General features: G+C 46.5%; 1 protein-coding gene across 16 annotated transcripts in view, besides 1 other annotated feature; it reads left to right on the top strand.

The window, feature by feature from the left end:
* Positions 476-555: an enhancer, noted in NCBI's record as "active region_14868". NCBI's record gives its function as "activates an Ori minimal core promoter by ATAC-STARR-seq in GM12878 lymphoblastoid cells {active_cell/tissue: GM12878}" and the evidence as "EXISTENCE:reporter gene assay evidence [ECO:0000049][PMID:35858748]".
* The window catches only part of ZNF541 (zinc finger protein 541), a 52,620-nt gene continuing 38,878 nt past the window's right edge, over positions 5,121-18,862 (top strand). For 2 of the 16 annotated variants that reach the window (NM_001277075.3, XM_011527368.3), the window contains exons 1-2: positions 5,282-5,347; positions 6,388-6,534. The gene's annotated coding sequence lies outside the window, so the exon portion shown is untranslated. Of the gene's footprint in view, positions 5,219-5,281; positions 5,348-5,397; positions 6,535-8,647; positions 8,677-11,688; positions 11,810-18,862 lie in introns of those variants that run through there. The other 14 variants (XM_047439508.1, XM_011527375.3, XM_011527374.4 and 11 more) reach the window with 12 other exon arrangements.

Raw genomic sequence — 18,862 nt, 5'->3', positions numbered from 1 at the left:
GTCACTCTGTTTCCCAGGCTGGAGTGCAGTGGCACCATCTCAGCTCACTGACAGCAACTTCCACCTCCCAAATTCAAGCGATTCTCCTGCCTCAGCCTCCTAAGCCTTAGCTGGATTACAGGTGCCTACCACCATGCCCAGCTAATTTTTATATTTTTAGTAGAGATGGGGTTTCACCATGTTGACCAGGATGGTCTCAAATTCTCGACCTCAAGTTATCCACCTGCCTCGGCCTCCCACAGGGCTGGGATTACAGGCGTGAGCCACCATGCCTGGCCTATTTATTTATTTATTTATTTATCTTGTTCCAGGATTATTCAATCCAGAATCCAGGATCCAATCTGTTTCTTTCCTTTCTTTTCTGTTCTTTTTTTTGCTATTACAAACATTGCTGCTTGTTCTTCTGTTGCATCTCTTGGCGCACATGATCAAGAAGTTTTCTAGAGTTAACCCCTGGGTTTGTCAGTGTGGTTCTACCAATTTTACCTGTCACTAGTCCTGTATACTCAGTTCGTCTTGCTTCAGCAAACAGAAAAAAAAAAATGTTTTTTGATTCACCGAAGTGGTAGGTGTGCTGCGGTATCTTTGGTTTTAATTTGCATTCTCTTGTTGTTGTGGTTAGTCCTCACTTCATGTTTCCTCTTGTATGAAGTGCCTCTTCAAATCTTATATTCTTTTTTTTTATTAGGTTGTCACCTTAATTTGTAGGCCTTTAAAATAAATGCTAAATGCTTTTTTTTATTTGAGACAGAGTCTCGCTCTGTTGCCCAGCCTGGAGTGCAATGGTGCGATCTCGGCTCACTGCAGACTCAACCTCCCAGGTTCAAGCAATTCTCCTGTCTCAACTTCCTGCGTAGCTGGGATTACAGGCACGCACCAGCACACCTGGCTAAGTTTTGTATTTTTAGTGGAGATGGACGTTTCACCATGTTGGCCAGGCTGGTCTCGAACTCCTGACCTCAGGTGATCCACCTGCCTTGGCCTCCCAAAGTGCTGGGATTACAAGCATGCTTGGCTAATGCTAATTTTTTGTTTATGTGTTGCATTTATCTTCTGTGTCCATGAAGTGTTCAATGTCTATCAATGACAGAAGATGCTAATTTATTTCAGGAGCTTAAGTCCTGTTTTTTAACTAGATTCTCATCTGTCCAGTGGCTAGGATCCTTATTTCCTCCATCAAGAAGAGAGATTACATGGCTGAAACAAAGCATTTTTAAAATGTGTGCTAAATAAGCGAAAAAAAAAAAGAAAACAAGAAAAAGAAAAGAAGGCCAGGCACAGTGGCTCTCACCTGTAATCCTAGCACTTTGGGAGCTGAGGCGGGTGGATCACGAGGTCAGGAGATGGAGACCATCCTGGCTAACATGGTGGAACCCCGTCTCTACTAAAAATACAAAAAATTAGCTGGGCGTGGTGGCACGAGCCTGTAATCCCAGGTACTTAGAAGGCTGAGGCAGGAGAATCACTTGAACCCAGGAGACAGAGGTTGCATTGAGCCGAGATGGTGCCACTGCACTCCAGCCTGGGTTACAGAGCGCGACTCTGTCTCAAAAGAAAAAAAAGAAGAAAAAGAAAAAAGAAAAAAAGAAAGAAAATAAAAGAAACAAACAAAAAACCCCACAAAACAAAAAGTGTGCTAAATAAAGGAAGAACCCTCTGAAATTGTTTCCAGGAGTTTAATTCCTGCCTTAGCATGACCTGTAAGTCCCTATGCCATCTGCCCCTAGTTTCTTCACTCACGTGGTTCTGGCCACACTGGTCTCTCTTCTTCTGATTTTTTTTTTTTTTTTGAGACAGAGTCTCACTCTGTTACCAAGGATGGAGCACAATGGCGTGATCTCGGCTCACTGCAACCGCTGCCTCCCAGGTTCAAGAGATTCTCATGCCTCAGCCTCCCGAGTAGCTGGGACTACAGGTGTGCACCACCATGCCCAGATAATTTTTTGTATTTTTAGTAGAGATGGGGTTTCAACATGTTGGCCAGGCTGGTCTCGAACTCCTGGGCTCAAGTGATCAGCCTACCTGGGCCCCCCAAATTGCTGGGATTACAAGCATAAGCCACCATGCCTGGCCTCTCTGCTGTCTTTCAAAAGGGTTCCACATCTTCCTGCCTCAGTGCCTGTGCACGTGCTGTTCCCTCTCTTCTTCCCCCAGATATTTTCATAGGACCCTTCCTTACTTCCTTCAGATCTCTGCTCAATGCAATCTCACCAGAGAAGCCTTTACTGACCTGTATAAAACAATACCCTCTGACCCCATCCTCTTTCCTTTGTTTTTCTTCAAGGTATAACATACTGCATTATAAATGTATTTGCAGCCAGGCACGGTGGCTCACTCCTGTAATCCCAGCATGTTGGGAGGCCAAGGCAGGAAGACTGCTTGAGCCTAGGAGTTCAAAACCAGCCTGGCCAACATGGCAAAACCCTGTCTCTACTAAAAATACAAAAAATTAGCTGGGTGTGGTGGTGCAGGCCTGTAGTACCAGCTACTCAGGAGGCTGAGGTGGTATAATAGCTTGGGCCCAGGAAGTCAAGGATGCAGCGAGGCATGATTACAACAATGCACTTCAGCCTAGGTGACATAGTGAGACCCTGTATCAAAAAAATACAACAAAAAAAGTAAATGCATTTGCTTGTCCCCCTGTAGAGGTATGCTGTCAGTACCAGAGCCACTCGCTACAAGGTTCCATGGAGCCCTGGAAATGTGGCTGGTCTGAATTGAGATGTCCCGTGAATGTAAAATACTGTATATGTGGGGTTTTAAAGACAGCCCCAAAAGTGTAAATTATCTCTTAGTTTTTATACTGATAATGTGTTGAAATATTTGGGATTAAATATTACCAAATTAATTTCACTTGTGTTTCTTTCTCTTTTATTTTATTATTTACTTTTATTTATTTGATTTTTAGGTTTGGGTGTGTTGCCCAGGCTGGTCTTGACCTCCTGAACTCAAGCAATCCTCCTGCCTCAGCCTCTCAAAGTGTTGAGATTACAGGTGTGAACCACCACACCCGTCCCAAGCCATTTTTTTTTTTTTTTAAGAGAATGGGTCCCACTATGTTGCCCAGGCTGGTGCAGTGGCTCTACACAGACAGGGCCATAGCTCACTGCAGTCTCCAACTCTTGGGTTCAAGTGATCCTCCTGTCTCAGCCTCACAAGTAGCTGGGCTACAAGTGCCAGCCGCCACACCTGCCTTCTTTACATTTTGTTCCTTTTAAACATGGCTACTAGAAAATGTAAAATTACATAAGTGGCTGGTGCTTGAAGTTTGCATTTTATTACTACTGAACAGCACTGCTCTAAAACATAAGTTCCAGGAGGAGAGGAATGTCTGTTTGACCCAGACACTATATCTGAGCACCTAGAACAGAGACCCAATAAAAACTTGCTAAATGAAGGGATCCTAAAGCAAGATGACAGGCCCTCTTCTTTCCTCTGTTTCCTCCCCCAATAATCAATTAAAAAAAAAAAAAACTTTGAGGTATAATTTACATAAAAGTCACTCACTTAAGTGTATACTTACTGATTTTTAGAAATTTACTGAGTTGTGCAACCATCACCATAACCCTTTTTTTCCCCCATCAGAGTCTCGCTCTATCCCCCAGTCTGGGGTGCAATGGCCTGATCATATAGCTCACTGCAGCCTTGGACTCCCAGGCTCAAGCGATCCTCCTGCCTCAGCCTCCCAAGTAGCTGGGACTACAGGCGCATGCCACCATCTCCAGTTAATTTTTTTTTTTTTTTTTTTTTAGAGACAGGGTTTCACTAGGTTGCCCAGGTTGGTCTCAAACTCCTAGGCTCAAGGGATCCTCCTACCTTGGCCTCCCAAAGAGCTGGGATTACAGGCGTGAGCCACCACGCCTGGCCCATAGCTCAGTTTTAGAATATTTCCATTACCCAGATAAGATCCGCGATGCCCCTTTCCACCCCGGGCAACCACTAATCTGCTCTCATTCTCCACAGATCTTCAGCACTCCGTTTCTAAGGAATGAATTATCTGCCTCAGTTGCAGGACAGTTCAAACCCCTTGGCCAGGTCGGGCACGGTGGCTCAGGTCTGTAATCCCAGCACTTTGGGAGGCAGAAGCAGGCGGATCACCTGATCACCCGAGGTCAGGAATTTAAGACCAGCCTGGCCAACATGGTGAAACCCCGTCTCTACTGAAAATACAACAAATTAGCCGGGCGTGGTGGCACGTGCCTGTAATCCCAGCTACTCGGGAGGCTGAGACAGGAGAATCGCTTTAACCCGGGAGGCGGAGATTGCAGTGAGCCGAGATCGCACCACTGAACTCCAGCCTGGGCGGCAGAACAAGACCCTGTCTCAAAAAAAAAAAAAAAGAAAAAAAAGATGGTCCTTGGCCAGTCGGCACCAGGGCCTACCGCCCTTCCCAACACAGCTCAGCACGGAGCAGGGGCCCCAGATGGCTCAGCCTTTCCCCAAAGAAGGGAGGAATAGGCTGGGCGCGGTGGCTCTCACCTATAATCCCAATGCTTTGGGAGACTGAGGCAGGAGGATCGCTTGAGCCCAGGGGAACCAGGCTAGCCTGGGCAACATGGCGAGACCTTATCTCTAAAAAAAATGTAAAAATTAGCAAGGTGTGGCGGCGCCCGCCTGTGGTCGCTGCTACTCAAGAGACTGAGGCAGGAGGATCGCCTGAGCCCAGGAAGGGGAGGGTGCGGCAGCCGTGATCGCAGCCTGGGGAACAGGGAGAGACCCTGTCTCTGAAAAAAATTTTAAAAAAAGGGAGGAGCAGCTCGCCCCACATCTCCCCCACCCAATGACGCAGAAGAGACCCTGAGAGACTCCCGCGCTCGCGACAGGGTCCTCGGAAACAGACGATACGGCCTCCCAGCACCAGGACGCTGCTCAGAGGCCCCTCCGGGGACTGGGGGCAGCCATCCAGCGGCCGCCACCGCGTTCTAACACCGCCCACCAGGAACAATGGCTGGAGTGGAGGCTCCCGGGACTCTCGGCCTCGGGATGCGGGTCTTGGGGGACTGGCCCCTCCCCCCGCCGCTCCTCCCCGGCTCACTCTTCTCACTCTCCGCCCTCAACCGCCCCCTCCCAAAATGGCGACCAACCGCCTCCTTTCCCGCCCGCGGCAAGCCCCGCCCCTCGGAGAAGCAGCCGAGAGCGCGCGGCCAGGAGGCACGCGCGAGGCCGCTCTGGGAGGCGTGAGGCGGCCCGCGGTCACGTACGCGCGCCTGCGCCGCGCGTGAGCGAGGAGATCCGGGGGTGGGCCGGGCTGCGCGTGCGCCCCGGGCGGCGCGGGGAAGGCGGGAGGCCGCTGGGAGCCCCGCGAGGCGCCAGGCGCGAGGCCCGGCGCGCGAGCCCCCGGGGGCGGGTAAAACCCGGTTGCTGCTGCCCCTGCCCCTCCCTTTCCTCCTTATCCCCCATTACTATTATTTCCTCTTTTTTCAACCCCTCCCCCTTTTTACAATCTCATTCGTTTCTTGATTTCTTTTTTTAGGGGGCCCCATCTGCCTTTCGAGGGGCGCAGCAGGCGCGGCGGGCGCCCCTCACCCTGCGTCACGCACGCATCTTCTGCAACCCAACAGCTCCGGGCCCCGCTGCACCCCACAGGCCCTTCCCCCTTGGAGAAGACCCTCCTCAGGATCCCCTGGCCCGCTGCACCCCCTTTTCTTTCCCACTCCGTCCCCCCGGGCCTCAACTGCCCCCTCGCAGCCCCCCAGCTCGCGCCGCGGGCCCTACCCGACCTCCCCACCTTCTGCATCTGGGCCTTGCATTCGCTAGCCTCTTCCAGGCCCCTTCTGCTCAGAATCCCCCTTCCTCCTCCATAGTCCCACTTTGGGGCACCCAGATTTATCCCTTTTTAGGATCTTCCAGCAAAACTCCAAATCTCTCCTCCTTTCCTTGACATGCCCCTCCCCCTCCTTTAAGTAACTTCCCTTAGCGCAAAAAAAGAAAAAAAATTAACCCAGTTTTTTTTCATCCGTTCAGGATCACTTTCCAGCAAAATTTTTTTCTTCACACCTAGAGTGCCCCTTTTTGGAATATCTTCGCTTAGAACAAACCAACTAATTCCTTCCAGTTTCTCTCTCGTCTAATATTTATGTTTCCAGTCCTCCTCACCTACCCCCAACTTTCCAGCAAATATCCTTATTTTATCACCAATTCTGCCCTAATTAAGTTTCTCCCGGTAAAATTCTCTAGGTCTCTTCCCACGGGGGAAAAATAAGGAAAGAAGGAACAATTATTTCTTCTTACCAAAAAAACCTTTCCTCCTCACTCAAATCTCCGCTGTTGATACTGCTTTCTGCCTTCTTCCAAAAATTGTTGCTCTTCTCCATTTTCACATCTCTGTTCTTGTTTCTTTGGGACCCAAGTCCTGACTGCTTCTTCCTTCCCACCACCTGCTTTCAGGGCAAAAGAAATTGGGAGTATCCTGCATTTACCACTCAGTGTTCCAGGAGGACATATCCAGTGGTCTGCTTGTCACCTGAACCCCCTCCCTGTGGGGCCTAAACTGGGTCCTCCTGTTCCCTGGAGATTCACTAACTTGCTCTTCTGGTGAGTTTCCTTCCTTTGCACTGAGCCAAAGACACCTGCTTTGTTGGATAGATCTCGTTCTTTCTCAAGAGGGTTTCTAAGCAATACCAAAGTCCGTACTAATGGTAATCATACAAGTTACTGCTTTGGAGAAGTCAAACAGGGAAAAGGGCTATTTATTGTGCATGTTGACCTGTTAGGAGGAGTGCAGACATAGATTGATGTGTGTTTCTTTATTGATGTTTATTGCAAAAAACGTTTTTCCTTCCCTAGCTCAGGGTGGCAACTCAGATACTTACAGGTAAGGCACAGGTAAAGGGAAGAAGTAAGGATTGTCGTGAAGCAAAGATTGTATGTCCCATCTAAGTGATGCCAGGCAGTGGAAATGCCAGGCCAGTGTTGCCAGAACTTTCGATTTCTTTGAGAAGAGGCCAGAAAACTATCCTTAGGTGAAACCTTCTGATTTTTAAATGCTAGCAACACATTTGATAATTTAAGAATTAAATAAGACAGCGTAGGCTGGGCGCAGTGGCTCATGCCTGTAATCCCAGCACTTTGGGAGGCCGAGGCGGCTGAGGAGTTTGAGACCAGCCTGGCCAATATAGTAAAACCCTGTCTCTACTAAAAATACAAAAAATTAGTTGGATGTGGTGGCAGGCGCCTGTAGTCCCAGCTACTGGGAAGGCTGAAGCATGAGAATCGCTTGAACCTGGGAGGCGGAGGTTGTGGTGAGCCGAGATTGCACCACTGCACTCCAACCTGGGCAACAGAGCGAGACTCCGTCTCAAAAAAAAAAAAGACAGCATAGGGAACTTATAAAATATGCCTGCCGGCCACCACTTTGGAATTTTCAGTTTCGGGTTTCTTTCTTTTAGATGCGTGTCTGCTTGGGCACATGTGTATGTGGACATGCAGGACTTTTTCTTATTGGAATAGTAGTTCTCAAACTTTTTTTTTTTTTTTCTTTTTGAGATGGAGTCTCTCTCTGTTTCCCAGGCTGGAGTGCAGTGGTGCGATCTCGGCTCACTGCAACCTCTGCCTCCTGGGTTCAAGCAATTCTCCTGCCTCAGCCTCCCAAGTAGCTGGGACTGCAGGCGTGCACCACCACGCCCAGCTAATTTAAAACTTTTGCTCTTAAGACCCCTTTGCACTTAAAAATTATTGAAGGCTGTAGAGAATTTTTGTTTATGTAAACTTTATCTACTGGCATTTGCTGTATTAGAAGTTTAAACTAATCAACTTTCAAAATGTTTATTAATTGATTTTAAAAGGGCAGTAATAAACCCATTATATATAAACAAAAAAACAAAATGCGCTTTTTTTTTTTTTTTTTTTTTTTTAGGACAGAGTCTTGCTCTGTCGCCCAGACTGGAGTGCATTGGCACTATCTCAGCTCACTGCAAACTCTACCTCCCAGGTTCAAGTGATTCTCATGCCTCAGCCTCCTGAGTACCTGGGATTACAGGTGCCCACCACCATGCCCGGCTAATTTTTGTATTTTTAGTAGAGACGGGTTTTCACCATGTTGGCAAGGCGGTCTCAAACTCCTGGCCTCCAGTGATCTGCCTGCGTCAGCCTCCCAAAGTGCTGGGATTACAGGCATGAACCACCACGCCCAGCCAAAATGGACTTTTTTTTTTTTGGAGATGGAGTCTCGCTCTGTCGCCCAGGCTGGAGTGCAGTGGAGTGATCTCGGCTTGCTGCAAGCTCTACCTCCTGGGTTCACACCATTCTCCTGCCTCAGCCTCCCGAGTAGCTGGGACAACAGGCACCCGCTACCACTCCTGGCTAATTTTTTGTATTTTTAGTACAGACAGGATTTCACCGTGTTAGCCAGGATGGTCTCGATCTCCTGACCTTGTGATCTGCCCGCCTCAGCCTCCCAAAGTGCTGGAATTAGAGTCGTGAGCCACCGTGCCCGGCCAGAGAAAATGACTTTACCTTCTGGTTAAAATTAGTTATTGGTTACATAACTATAAGACTATAGGAGGGAGTCTTTGTGCTTTGTTTTGCTCTTTTCTTTTCTCCTTTCTTTTCTTGAGACAGGGTTTCGCTGTTTGCCCAGGCTGGAGTGCCGTGGTGTGATCCTGGCTCACTGGAGCCTCGACCTCCCAACATCAAGCAATCCTTCTGCTTCAGTCTCCCGAGTAGCTGGGACCACAGGTGTGCACCACCACACCTGGCTAATTTTTGATTTTTTTTGTAGAGATGGGTGGGGGGCGGCGGGGATCTCACTTTGTTGCCCGGGCTGGTCTTGAACTCCTGGACTCAAGCAATCTTCCTACCTAGGCCTCAGAAAGTGCTGGGATTACAGGCGAGAATGACCTTGCCCAGCTGGAAGTCTTTCTTGATTGTTCTACTTAAGAATGTAGGCACGAGTGTGAAGCAGGAGTCCCAGTCTCAAGTGTGTGATAAAAGCATAGTGGAGCGGGCAAGCGTAAGGGTTTCGAAATTAGACTACCCAGGGTTGAATCCTAGCTTGGTTTTGGGCAAGTTACTCAACTTCTCTGGACTATTTACCTCATTGGTGAAATAGGGTTAATAATACAGTATATGCCTCAAGTATTGTGGGAATTAAATACGATGACATACAAGTGATTACAAGAGTACCTGGCATGTCATAAAGCCTCAATAAATGTTCACTGTTATTATTATTATTATTATTACAATGATGAATATTATAAGGGCCAGGCAGGAAGATAAGTGAGGGCTGGGAAAACTGGAGACCATAAGCCCTTTCTAGAGATGCCATTTGTCCCTCAGATCTACCTCGTTGTTAACTGTGAAGGAATATCAAATCTAATCATTTTCAAAAGAAACCAGAAATCCATATAGGAAGGTGAAATCTCCCCATTAAAAAAAAATGTTGATGACTAATCCAATTTGTAAAAATACTGTGTAGGCCAAACAAAATGGGTCTATAGTTTACAATAATATTTGGAGTGGAGGCTGGGCACAGTGGCTCACGCCTGTAATCCTAGCATTTTGAGAGGCCGAGGTGGGTGGATCACGAGGTCAGGAGTTTGAGACCAGCCTGGCCAACATAGTGAAACCTCGTCTCTACTAAAAATACAAAAATTAGCCCAGTGTGGTGGTGTGCACCTGTAGTCCCAGCTACTCGGAAGGTTGAGGAGGAAAATCACTTGAACCCAGGAGGCGGAGGTTGCAATGAGCCAAGGCCACGCCATTGCACTCCAGCCTGAGTGACAGAGAGAGACTTCAACTCAGGAAAACAAAAAAAATTGGAGTAGGAAAGTAAGGAAGGAAATTGCAGGCCGGGTGCAGTGGCTTGCACCTGTAATACCAGCACTTTGGGAGGCTGAGGCAGGTGGATTGCTTGACGGCAGGAGGTCGAGGCCAGCCTGGCCAACATGGCAAAACCCTGTCTCTATTAAAAATACAAAAATTAGCCAGGTGTGGTGGCACATGCTTGTAAACCCAGCTACTCGGGTGGCTGAGATGGGAGAATCGCTTGAATCCGCGAGGTGGAGGTTCAGTGAGCCGAGATCACGCCACTGCACTCCAGTCTGGGCGACAGAGTAAGACCCTGTCTCAAAAAATAAAATAAAATAAAATGAAGGAAATTGCATAGCTAGGGTGAAAGCTGCAAGTCTGTCTGCTCAACTCCCAGGAACCTGCTGTTACTCAGACTTGATGACCCTTTCCCTGGTAACATGGATGCAGGGAGAGAAGGGAGAAGGTGGTGCTTAGGAGGTGGGGGGTGTGGTGGCAGAACAGTGGTTGGAGCTTTTCAAAGAGGAAAAGAGGTGGCACAATGGAATTCTGTCACTCATGAATGAAAAGGATGCTCAGAGCCTTCTGTGATCAAAGTTCTGTGCTAGGCAAGATACTGTGAGAAGTTTAGACACCTAAGGCCGAGTCCCAGCCATCCTAGAGCTGAGAGTCTGGAGAAAATGGGAGAACTTTAAAGATAATTAACTTCCTAGATAATTTAGAGTAAATGTTAAGTGGATTGTTACACAAGTGCTTGTCAGGGTTCAGAGGAGGGAGAAATTAATCTCAGACTTTGTTATGTTGGAAGTGTTCTCTATAGTGGAGGTGACATTTAAGCCTGAGTTTGGAGGGTTTCATTTGGAGGGTCATAAACTCAGATGCCTCCAGAGGCCTGGCAGGGCACAGAAATCAGTGAGCTGAGAGAATAGGGAGTGGTGGGGGCTTCTCACCTCCAACCAATTGTTGCCTTGCAGGAATGTGGACTCAGCATTGGCAGATCTTCTGATTTTTTCTTTCACATTTTTAAATAGAAGTTGGAAAGCCTAACTTGAATGAGAAATCCCTAGATTTGCACCATCTGATATGGTAGCCATTAGCCGCTTGTACCTGTTTAAATTTAACTGGCCAGGCGCGGTGGCGCACGCCTGTAATCCCAGCGCTTTGGGAAGCCGAGGAGGGCGGATCATTTGAGGTAAGGAGTTCGAGACCCAGCTTAGCCAACATGGTGAAACCCCATCTCTACTAAAAATACAAAAATTAGCTGGGCATGATGGCGGGCGCCTGTAATCCCCAGCTACTCAGGAGGCTGAGGCAGGAGAATCACTTGAGCCCAGGAGGTGGAGGTTGCAGTGAACTGAGATTGCACCACTACACTCCAGCCTGGGTGACACAGTGAGACTCTGTCTCTAAATAAATAAATAAATAAATAAATTTAACTAAACTTAAATAAAATAAAGAGTTTAGTTCCTCAAGGGTGTTAGCTGCATTTCTGTGTATGTGGCTAAAGACTGCAGTATTGGGCAGTGCAGGCTTAGTAGCACAGAAAGTGCTTTTGGATAGTGATGCTCTAGTGCTCTATCCATCTATTTTTCTATTATTTATTTTATTTTATTTATTTATTTATTTATTTTTGAGATGGAGTCTCGCTCTGTGGCCCAGGCTGGAGTGCAGCGGCCTGATCTTGGCTCACTGCAAGCTCCGCCTCCCGGGTTCATGCCATTCTCCTGCCTCAGCCTCCCGAGTAGCTGGGACTACAGGCACCCGCCACCACGCCTGGCTAATTTTTTGTATTTTTAGTAAAGACGGGGTTTCACCATGTTAGCCAGGATGGTCTCAATCTCCTGACCTTGTGATCCGCCCGCCTCAGCCTCCCAAAGTGCTGGGATTACAGGTGTGAGCCACCGCACCTGGCCTTATTTTATTTATTTATTTATTTTTGAGATGGAGTCTGGCTTTGTCACCAGGATGGAGTGCAGTGGCATGATCTTGGCTCACTGCAACCTCCGCCTCCCAAGTTCAAGCAATTCTCCTGCCTCAGCCTCCTGAGTAGCTGGTACTACAGGTGAGTGCCACTATGCCGAGCTAATTTTTGTAGTTTTGGTAGAGATGGGGTTTCACTATATTGGTCAGGCTGGTCTTGAACTCCTGACCTCAGGTGATCTGCCTGCCTCAGCTGTCCAAAGTGGTGGGATTATAGGTGTGAGCCACCATACCTGGCCCCATCTATTCTTTAACTGGATAACTAATGGAAACATATTTAAATATATTGCAGACTAAATAAAATATATTTGTAAATCAGATGGGCATTCAGATTGTTCCCTCCCCTCCAAACAACACACATAGTAAATATTATTTATCTATTGTGGACTTACTTCTACAGTCTAGAATCTCATGGTAGGTTACCTTCCCAAAAGGTCGTAGCATTTCATAGAAGAATCCTTTGTTTCCCCTCACCCCCACCAGTCATGGAATGATGGCCCCTTTAAATTTTATTTTATTTTTTTTTGAGATGGAGTCTCACTCTGTCACCCAGGCTGGAGTGCAGTGGCACAATCTTGGCTCACTGCAACCTCCGCCTCCCGGGTCCAAGAGATTCTTGGGCCTCAGCCTCCTGAGTAGCTGGGGTTACAGGCACCCACCACCATGCGCGGCTAATTTTTGTATTTTTAGTAGAGACGGGGTTTCGCCATGTTGGCCAGTCTGGTCTCGAACTCCTGACCTCAAGTGATCCGCACACCTCAGCTTCCCAAAATGCTGGGATTACAGACGTGAGCCACTGCGCTGGGCTGATAGCATTTTTTTAAAAGAAAAAAAATTAAAATTGCTTCGGATCCCCAATGTTGACTTAAATTGTTTTAAAACTATTAAGGCATCAGTGATGATAGAACAAGACATAAGTTCCTAAAGTGTATAGCTCCTGTGCAGCTATAAAGCCAAAATCAATTTGCAAATTAAATATAAACAAAGCAACCAAACCGATTTAATTTAATGAGAGGGATACCATTTCCTGAAACTTACCTGCTCCTTGAAACAATTACTTTGCCGACTGCCACTCTGGGCCCTTTTGGGTTTAGCAGGCCCTGTGAGGTCTCAATTCTCCCATCCCTTGTCTCAATTTGAACTGCAGCAAAACTTCCATTTGTACCGTGATGCCAGCTGGCCTCTAGTAGAGCCCGAAGGCATTATTATGAACTAAATCCCCCTCCATCCTCTTCTTTTTAGCCTGAAGCAATTAAGTAGTCCTTTTTGGCATGAGTGCAATCATAAACACACCCAGGCATTGAAACCACATGGTAGTACTCGGTTACAAGGGAGTCCTCTAATGATCCAGATGTACTGGGTTTTTCTTTTCTTTTTTCTTTTTTTAGTTTTTTATTTCCATAGATTTTGGGGGAACAGGTGGTACTCGGTTATATGAGTAAGTTCTTTAGTGGTGATTTGTAAGATTTTAGTGTACCCATCACCCAAGCAGTATACATTGAACCCAATTTGTAGTCTTTTATCCCTCATCCCCTCCCACCCTTTCCCCCCAAGTCCCCAAAGTCCATTGTATCATTCTTATGCCTTTAATCCTCATAGCTTAGCTCTCACTTACAAAGTGAGAACATACGATGTTTGATTTTCCATTCCTGAGTTACTTCACTTAGAAGAATAATAGTCTCCAGTTCAATCCAGGTTGCTGTGAATGCCATTATTTCGTTCCTTTTTATGGCTGAGTAGTATTCCATCATATATATATTTCTTTATCCACTCCTTGATTGATGGTGGGCATTTGGGCTGGTTCCGTATTTTTGGAATTGCAAATTATGCTGCTCTAAACATGCATGTGCAAGTATCTTTTTCTTATAATGACTTCTTTTCCTCTGGGTAGATACCCAGGAGTGAGATTGCTGGATCAAATGGTAGTTCCACTTTTTGTTCTTTAAGGAATGTCCACACTGTTTTCTATAGTGGCTGTACTAGTTTACATTCCCACCAGCAGTGTAGAAAGGTTTCTTGTTCACCGCATCCATGCCAACATCTGTTATTTTTTTATTTTTTGATTACGGCCATTCTTGCAGGAGTAAGGTGGTATCCCATTGTGGTTCTGATTTGCATTTCCCTGATCGTTAGTGATGTTGAGCATTTAAATGAAAACACAAAATGATAAAATTCTTGGAAAGAGTATTTGGGTCCTTGGGAATGTCTGCCGGGTTGCAGGAGACCATAAACTCTGCCTCGTAAGGGCTAGCAGAGAGTTTTGTACCTAGAAGGTGCTAAAACTCTTGTTGAATTGAATGTATTTGTTGACAGAATAAAAGGAAGCTCAGTATCGGTAGAGAGGGTTTTGCTTTACTGTCTGGAGAAGGATGTAAATATCAAGGCATGGCCTTTGGACTTTTGGCTTGCCTGTCTGAGGTTGTAACCTGACCAGTTTGTTCTGTGGACTATGGGAGTATATTGGAAAGCAGGTGATTTGGCCTTGGGGAGTCCAGAGACATTCTTCCCCCTGACCCAGCACCTTATGTGTTTTGTAGTTTAATTGGAGCAGTGCAGTATACAGTTCAGTTTATAGGGAATCAGTACTGTGTAATGGGCAAGACCATTAGCGCTAATGTCAGAGTATCTGGGTTTAAGATCTGGCTGTTGGGTTTTGACTTTGGACAAATTAGTCTCTCTTATTTGTAAAAGGGAAGTAATACTACAATCTAGGTTTTTGTGAGAAGTAAGTTAATGCATATAAAGCACTTGGTATGATACCCGATGTGGAGAAAGTGCTTAATAAATACGATTTTTAGGCCAGGCGCGGGGGCTTATGCCTGTAATCCCAGCACTTTGGGAGGCCGAGGCGGGTGGATCACCTGAGGTCAGGAGTTTGAGACCAGCCTGACCAGCGTGGTGAAACCCTATCTCTACTAAAAGTACAAAAATTTGCCAGGCGTGGTGGTGAGTGCCTGTAATCCCAGGTACTGGGAGGCTGAGACAAGAGAATTGCTTGAACCCAGGAGGCAGAGGTTGCAGTGAGCCGAGATTGCACCACTGCACTCTAGCCTAGGGGACACAGCAAGACTTCGTCTCAAAAAATATATATGTGATTTTTATTCACTTGTTTTTATTATTGGGAGATGCAGGGGGAGATGGGTTTTTCCCCTCATAGAGTGGTGAAAACAGTTTATAGCAGCACTGTAGCAGACACTGTGGAACTGGTGAAATTTGAATTTGGCTTACAGATCCACACTCCTCTCCCTGATTTTTTGGAAACCCAAAAAGCTCTGAGAATCCTGAGGCATCTCGAATATCATCTGGTGGCCAAACCTGACCCTACATGTTGCTTTTCACAGCCTTTATTTCACGTACGCTGAGTGGTCATAGGCAATGATGCAGAAATAATTATTTGGTTACCAGGTACTGCCTTGAACCCCACTGGAAGTTACTTAAAATACGGGGTATGCATTGATTTACACTTCTAAAACCCCCTCAAATTCTGAAACTCAGTTGGGTCTCAGAGTTGTATATGGGATTACGTACCTGTATGTGACTTTAAATTTGTGCTGCCTCAATAGGCTGCATACACGCAGACAGGCAGGTAGACATATAACATGCAATGCAGACATTGCAGGTGCAGAGGTTCTATTACATATCAACATGAAAAGTTCTTAGAAAGTAGAAACTGGTGGCCTAGAAATCTAGTCCCAAACTCCCGTTATTCAAGTATGCACTAGATTTGTTATTCAGTGAGTCATGAAGCATTTCTTTAACATCTAGGTGTGAGCAGAATTATTCACAATAGCCCCCAAATGGAAGTAACCCAAATGTTCATCAACAGGAGAGTGGTTAAACAAAATGTGGTCTCTCCAGACAGGGGAACATTATTTAGCCCTGGAAAGAAATGGAGCAGTGACACGTGCTGCAATGGGGGTGAACCTTGAAAACACTGTGCTTAGTGAAAGAAGCCAGACACAGAAGGCCACAGGTCATCTGATTCCATTTGTGTGAGACAGATGGCCATCTGAAGGGGCTATGCTTTTTTGTTTTCATGACTCATAATTTTTTGCTGAAAAACTCGATCTCTCATTTTTCTCAAGCTTCCATGATTCGAAAACTGGACATTTTATCTGTTTGGTTTTTTTTGTTTTGTTTTTTGTTTTTAGTTTTTTTTGAAATGGAGTCTCAGTCTGTCACCCAGGCTGGAGTGCAGTGGCACAATCTCAACTCACTGCAGACTCCATCTCCCGGGTTCAAGCGATTCTCCTGCCTCAGCTTCCTGAGTAGCTGGCATTACAGGCACACACCACCACGCCCAGCTAATTTTTGTATTTTTAGTAGAGATGGCGTTTCACCATGTTGGCCAGGCTGGTCTTGAACTCCTGACCTCAAGTGATCCGCCCTCCCGGACCTCCCAAAGTGCAGGGGTTACAGGCATGAGCCAGCGCGCCTGGCCTGTTTTTGTTTTTTTTGGGGAGACAGTCTCTGTCGCCCAGGCTGGAGTGCAGTGGCACGATCTTGGCTCACTGCAGCCTCCACCTCCCGAGTTCAAGCGATTCTCCTGCCTCAGCCTCCCGTGTAGCTGGGATTGCAGGTGCCTGCCACCACAGCCAGCTAATTTTTATATTTTTAGTAGGGACGGGGGTTCGCCATGTTGGCCAGGCCAGTCTTGAACTCCTGACCTCAGGTGATCCACCCGCCTCGGCCTCCCAAAATGCTGGGATTACAGGCGTGAGCCACTGCACCCAGCCTGTAAACTGGATATTTTGCATATTGCAGTCTGGTAACTCTGGGAATGGGATTCTTCCTTTCTTCCCTGTCCTCAGGCTTGGTTGTTTCTGCTTATTGTGGGTTGTAACTGTTTGTTTAGTGGCTTTTCTAAGCTATTTTTGTAAAGATTGTGTTCTTTGTGGGGTGTGGTCAGTAGTCTGTTCTGTTAGTTTAGTGGTCAGCTAGTGACTTAACAGAGATCTTCTTAAACTCCTGGAGCTAAAAAAAAAACAAAACAGAAAACAAAAAACAAAAAGCTCCCAGTAGTTGCAGCGGGGCACTGCTTCCACACTCAGGCAGGCGGTTAACAACCCTACCTTCGCCTTCACTCTCTGCCTGCACAGAGCGAAGGTCAGCCAGAGGTGAGAGCTTGGAAGCCTTCTCTGGTCCTTTCCAAACATGTGCCCACCCTGAGATGCCACCTTCTAAATTCCCAGGAATATGTGGAAGCTCTTTTTTTATTCATTTGGATTTTTTAATTTTTTTAATACTTAATTAATTAATTATTTTGAGACAGGGTATCACTTTGTTGCCCAGGCTGGAGTGCAGTGGCGCAATCATAGCTCAATGAAGCCTCCAATTCTTGGGCTCAAGCGATTCACCCTCCTCAGCCTCCCAAGTAGCTGAAACCACAAGCATGTGCCACCATGCCCAGCTAATTAAAAAAAAATTTTTTTTCATAGAGACAGGGTCTGACTTTGTCAAACTCCTGGGCCAAAGTGCTGGGATTACAGGTGTGAGCCACCACACCCAGCCAGAGCTCAGTCTCTGTGTTGTATAGTTCTGTGGGTTTTGACTATGGTATAATGTCAGGTATGCAGCATTAGATTATCATGCAAAATAGTTTCACTCCTCACCCCACAAACCACACAACTGCTGGTCTTTTTATTGTCTCTATAGTTTTGCCTTTTCCAGAATGTGATATAGTTGGAGTCTCACAGTATGTAGTCTTGTCTTTCTTTTTTTTCGGTATGTAATCTTTTCATACTGGCTTCCTTCACTTAGCAATGTGCATTTAAGGTTCCTCCATGTCATTGTGTGGTTTGATAGCTTATTGCTTTTTATTCCTGAAGAACATTCCATTGTCTGGATGTTCCACAGTTTGTTGATCCATTCACCTATTGAGGGATGTCTTGATTGCTTCCAGTTTTGGGCAGTTATGAACAAAGCTGCTATAAACATGTGTGTGCAGGCTTTTGTGTGGACTGAAGTTTTCAGCTCAGTTGGATGGATGCCTAAGAGTGTAGTTGCTGGATTGCATGATAAGATTTTATACATATATATATTACAATCATCAAATAGATGCAGAAAAAAACTATGTGTAGCTTTATAAGAAACTGCCAGTGTGGACTTTTTTTTTTTTTTTTTTTTGGGACAGAGTTTTGCCCTTGTCTCCTAGGCTGGAGTGCAGTGGCGCAATCTTGGCTCATTGCAACCTCCACCTCCCACATTCAAGTGATTCTCCTGCCTCAGCCTCCCAAGCAGCTGGGATTACAGGCACCTGCCACCATGCCCAGCTAATTTTTGTGTTTTTAGTGGAAACGGAGTTTCACCGTGTTGGCCAGGCTGGTCTCAAACTCCTGATGTCAGGTGATTCACCTGCCTCGGCCTCCCAAAATGCTGGCATAACAAGCATGAGCCACCATGCCTGGCTCATTTTTTCAAAGCCTTTATTTCTCCAAAGTATCCAACTTCCCAGCTTTTCCTCCCTGGCTTTTAGCAAGTCAGTTGTTTGCCCCAATCAATATCTTTTGCGCCAGCCTGCAGCATCTAGTTCATTTGACTTTAATGTTTGCAACAAACGCCCTGTCTGTAGCCACTCTGCACCCCAGAGAGCTGCCAGTTAGGTACAAAAAAAGGCAAGATCTTTGCATTGGGCTTTCAGGGAGCCACTGACAGGTCAGACAGACAACCACTGTTCTTTGAAAACCAGATCCTCTCTGTTCCCTCCAGCACCAGGGAACCCACACCAGAAACATGGGCTGCTACCTTCGAGACCACTGCTGAGCCAGGGAGTAGGGATGGGGCAGGGGTAAGTTAAATATGCCACAAAGTTCTCCCACTGGGTTTCAGTCACCATTTTTTTTTTTTTTTTTTTGAGACAGAGTCTTGCTCTGTCACCCAGGCTGGAGTGCAGAGGCACAATCTCGGCTCACTACAACCTCCGCTTCCTGGGTTCGAGCGATCCTCCTGCCTCAGCCTCGCAAGTAGCTGGGACTACAGGCGTGCACTACCACACCCAGCTAACTTTTATATTTTCAGTAGAGATGGGGTTTTACTATGCTGGCCAGGCTGGTCTCAAACTCCTGGCCTCAGGTGATCTGCCCATCTCGGCCTCCTAAAGTGCTGCGATTACAGGCGTGAGCCTGTAATCAAACAT

The sequence above is a fragment of the Homo sapiens genome, chromosome 19 (genome assembly GCF_000001405.40).
Source record: "Homo sapiens chromosome 19, GRCh38.p14 Primary Assembly".
In the NCBI taxonomy this organism is placed as follows: domain Eukaryota; kingdom Metazoa; phylum Chordata; class Mammalia; order Primates; family Hominidae; genus Homo; species Homo sapiens.
This window is presented reverse-complemented; position numbering and strand designations above follow the sequence as displayed.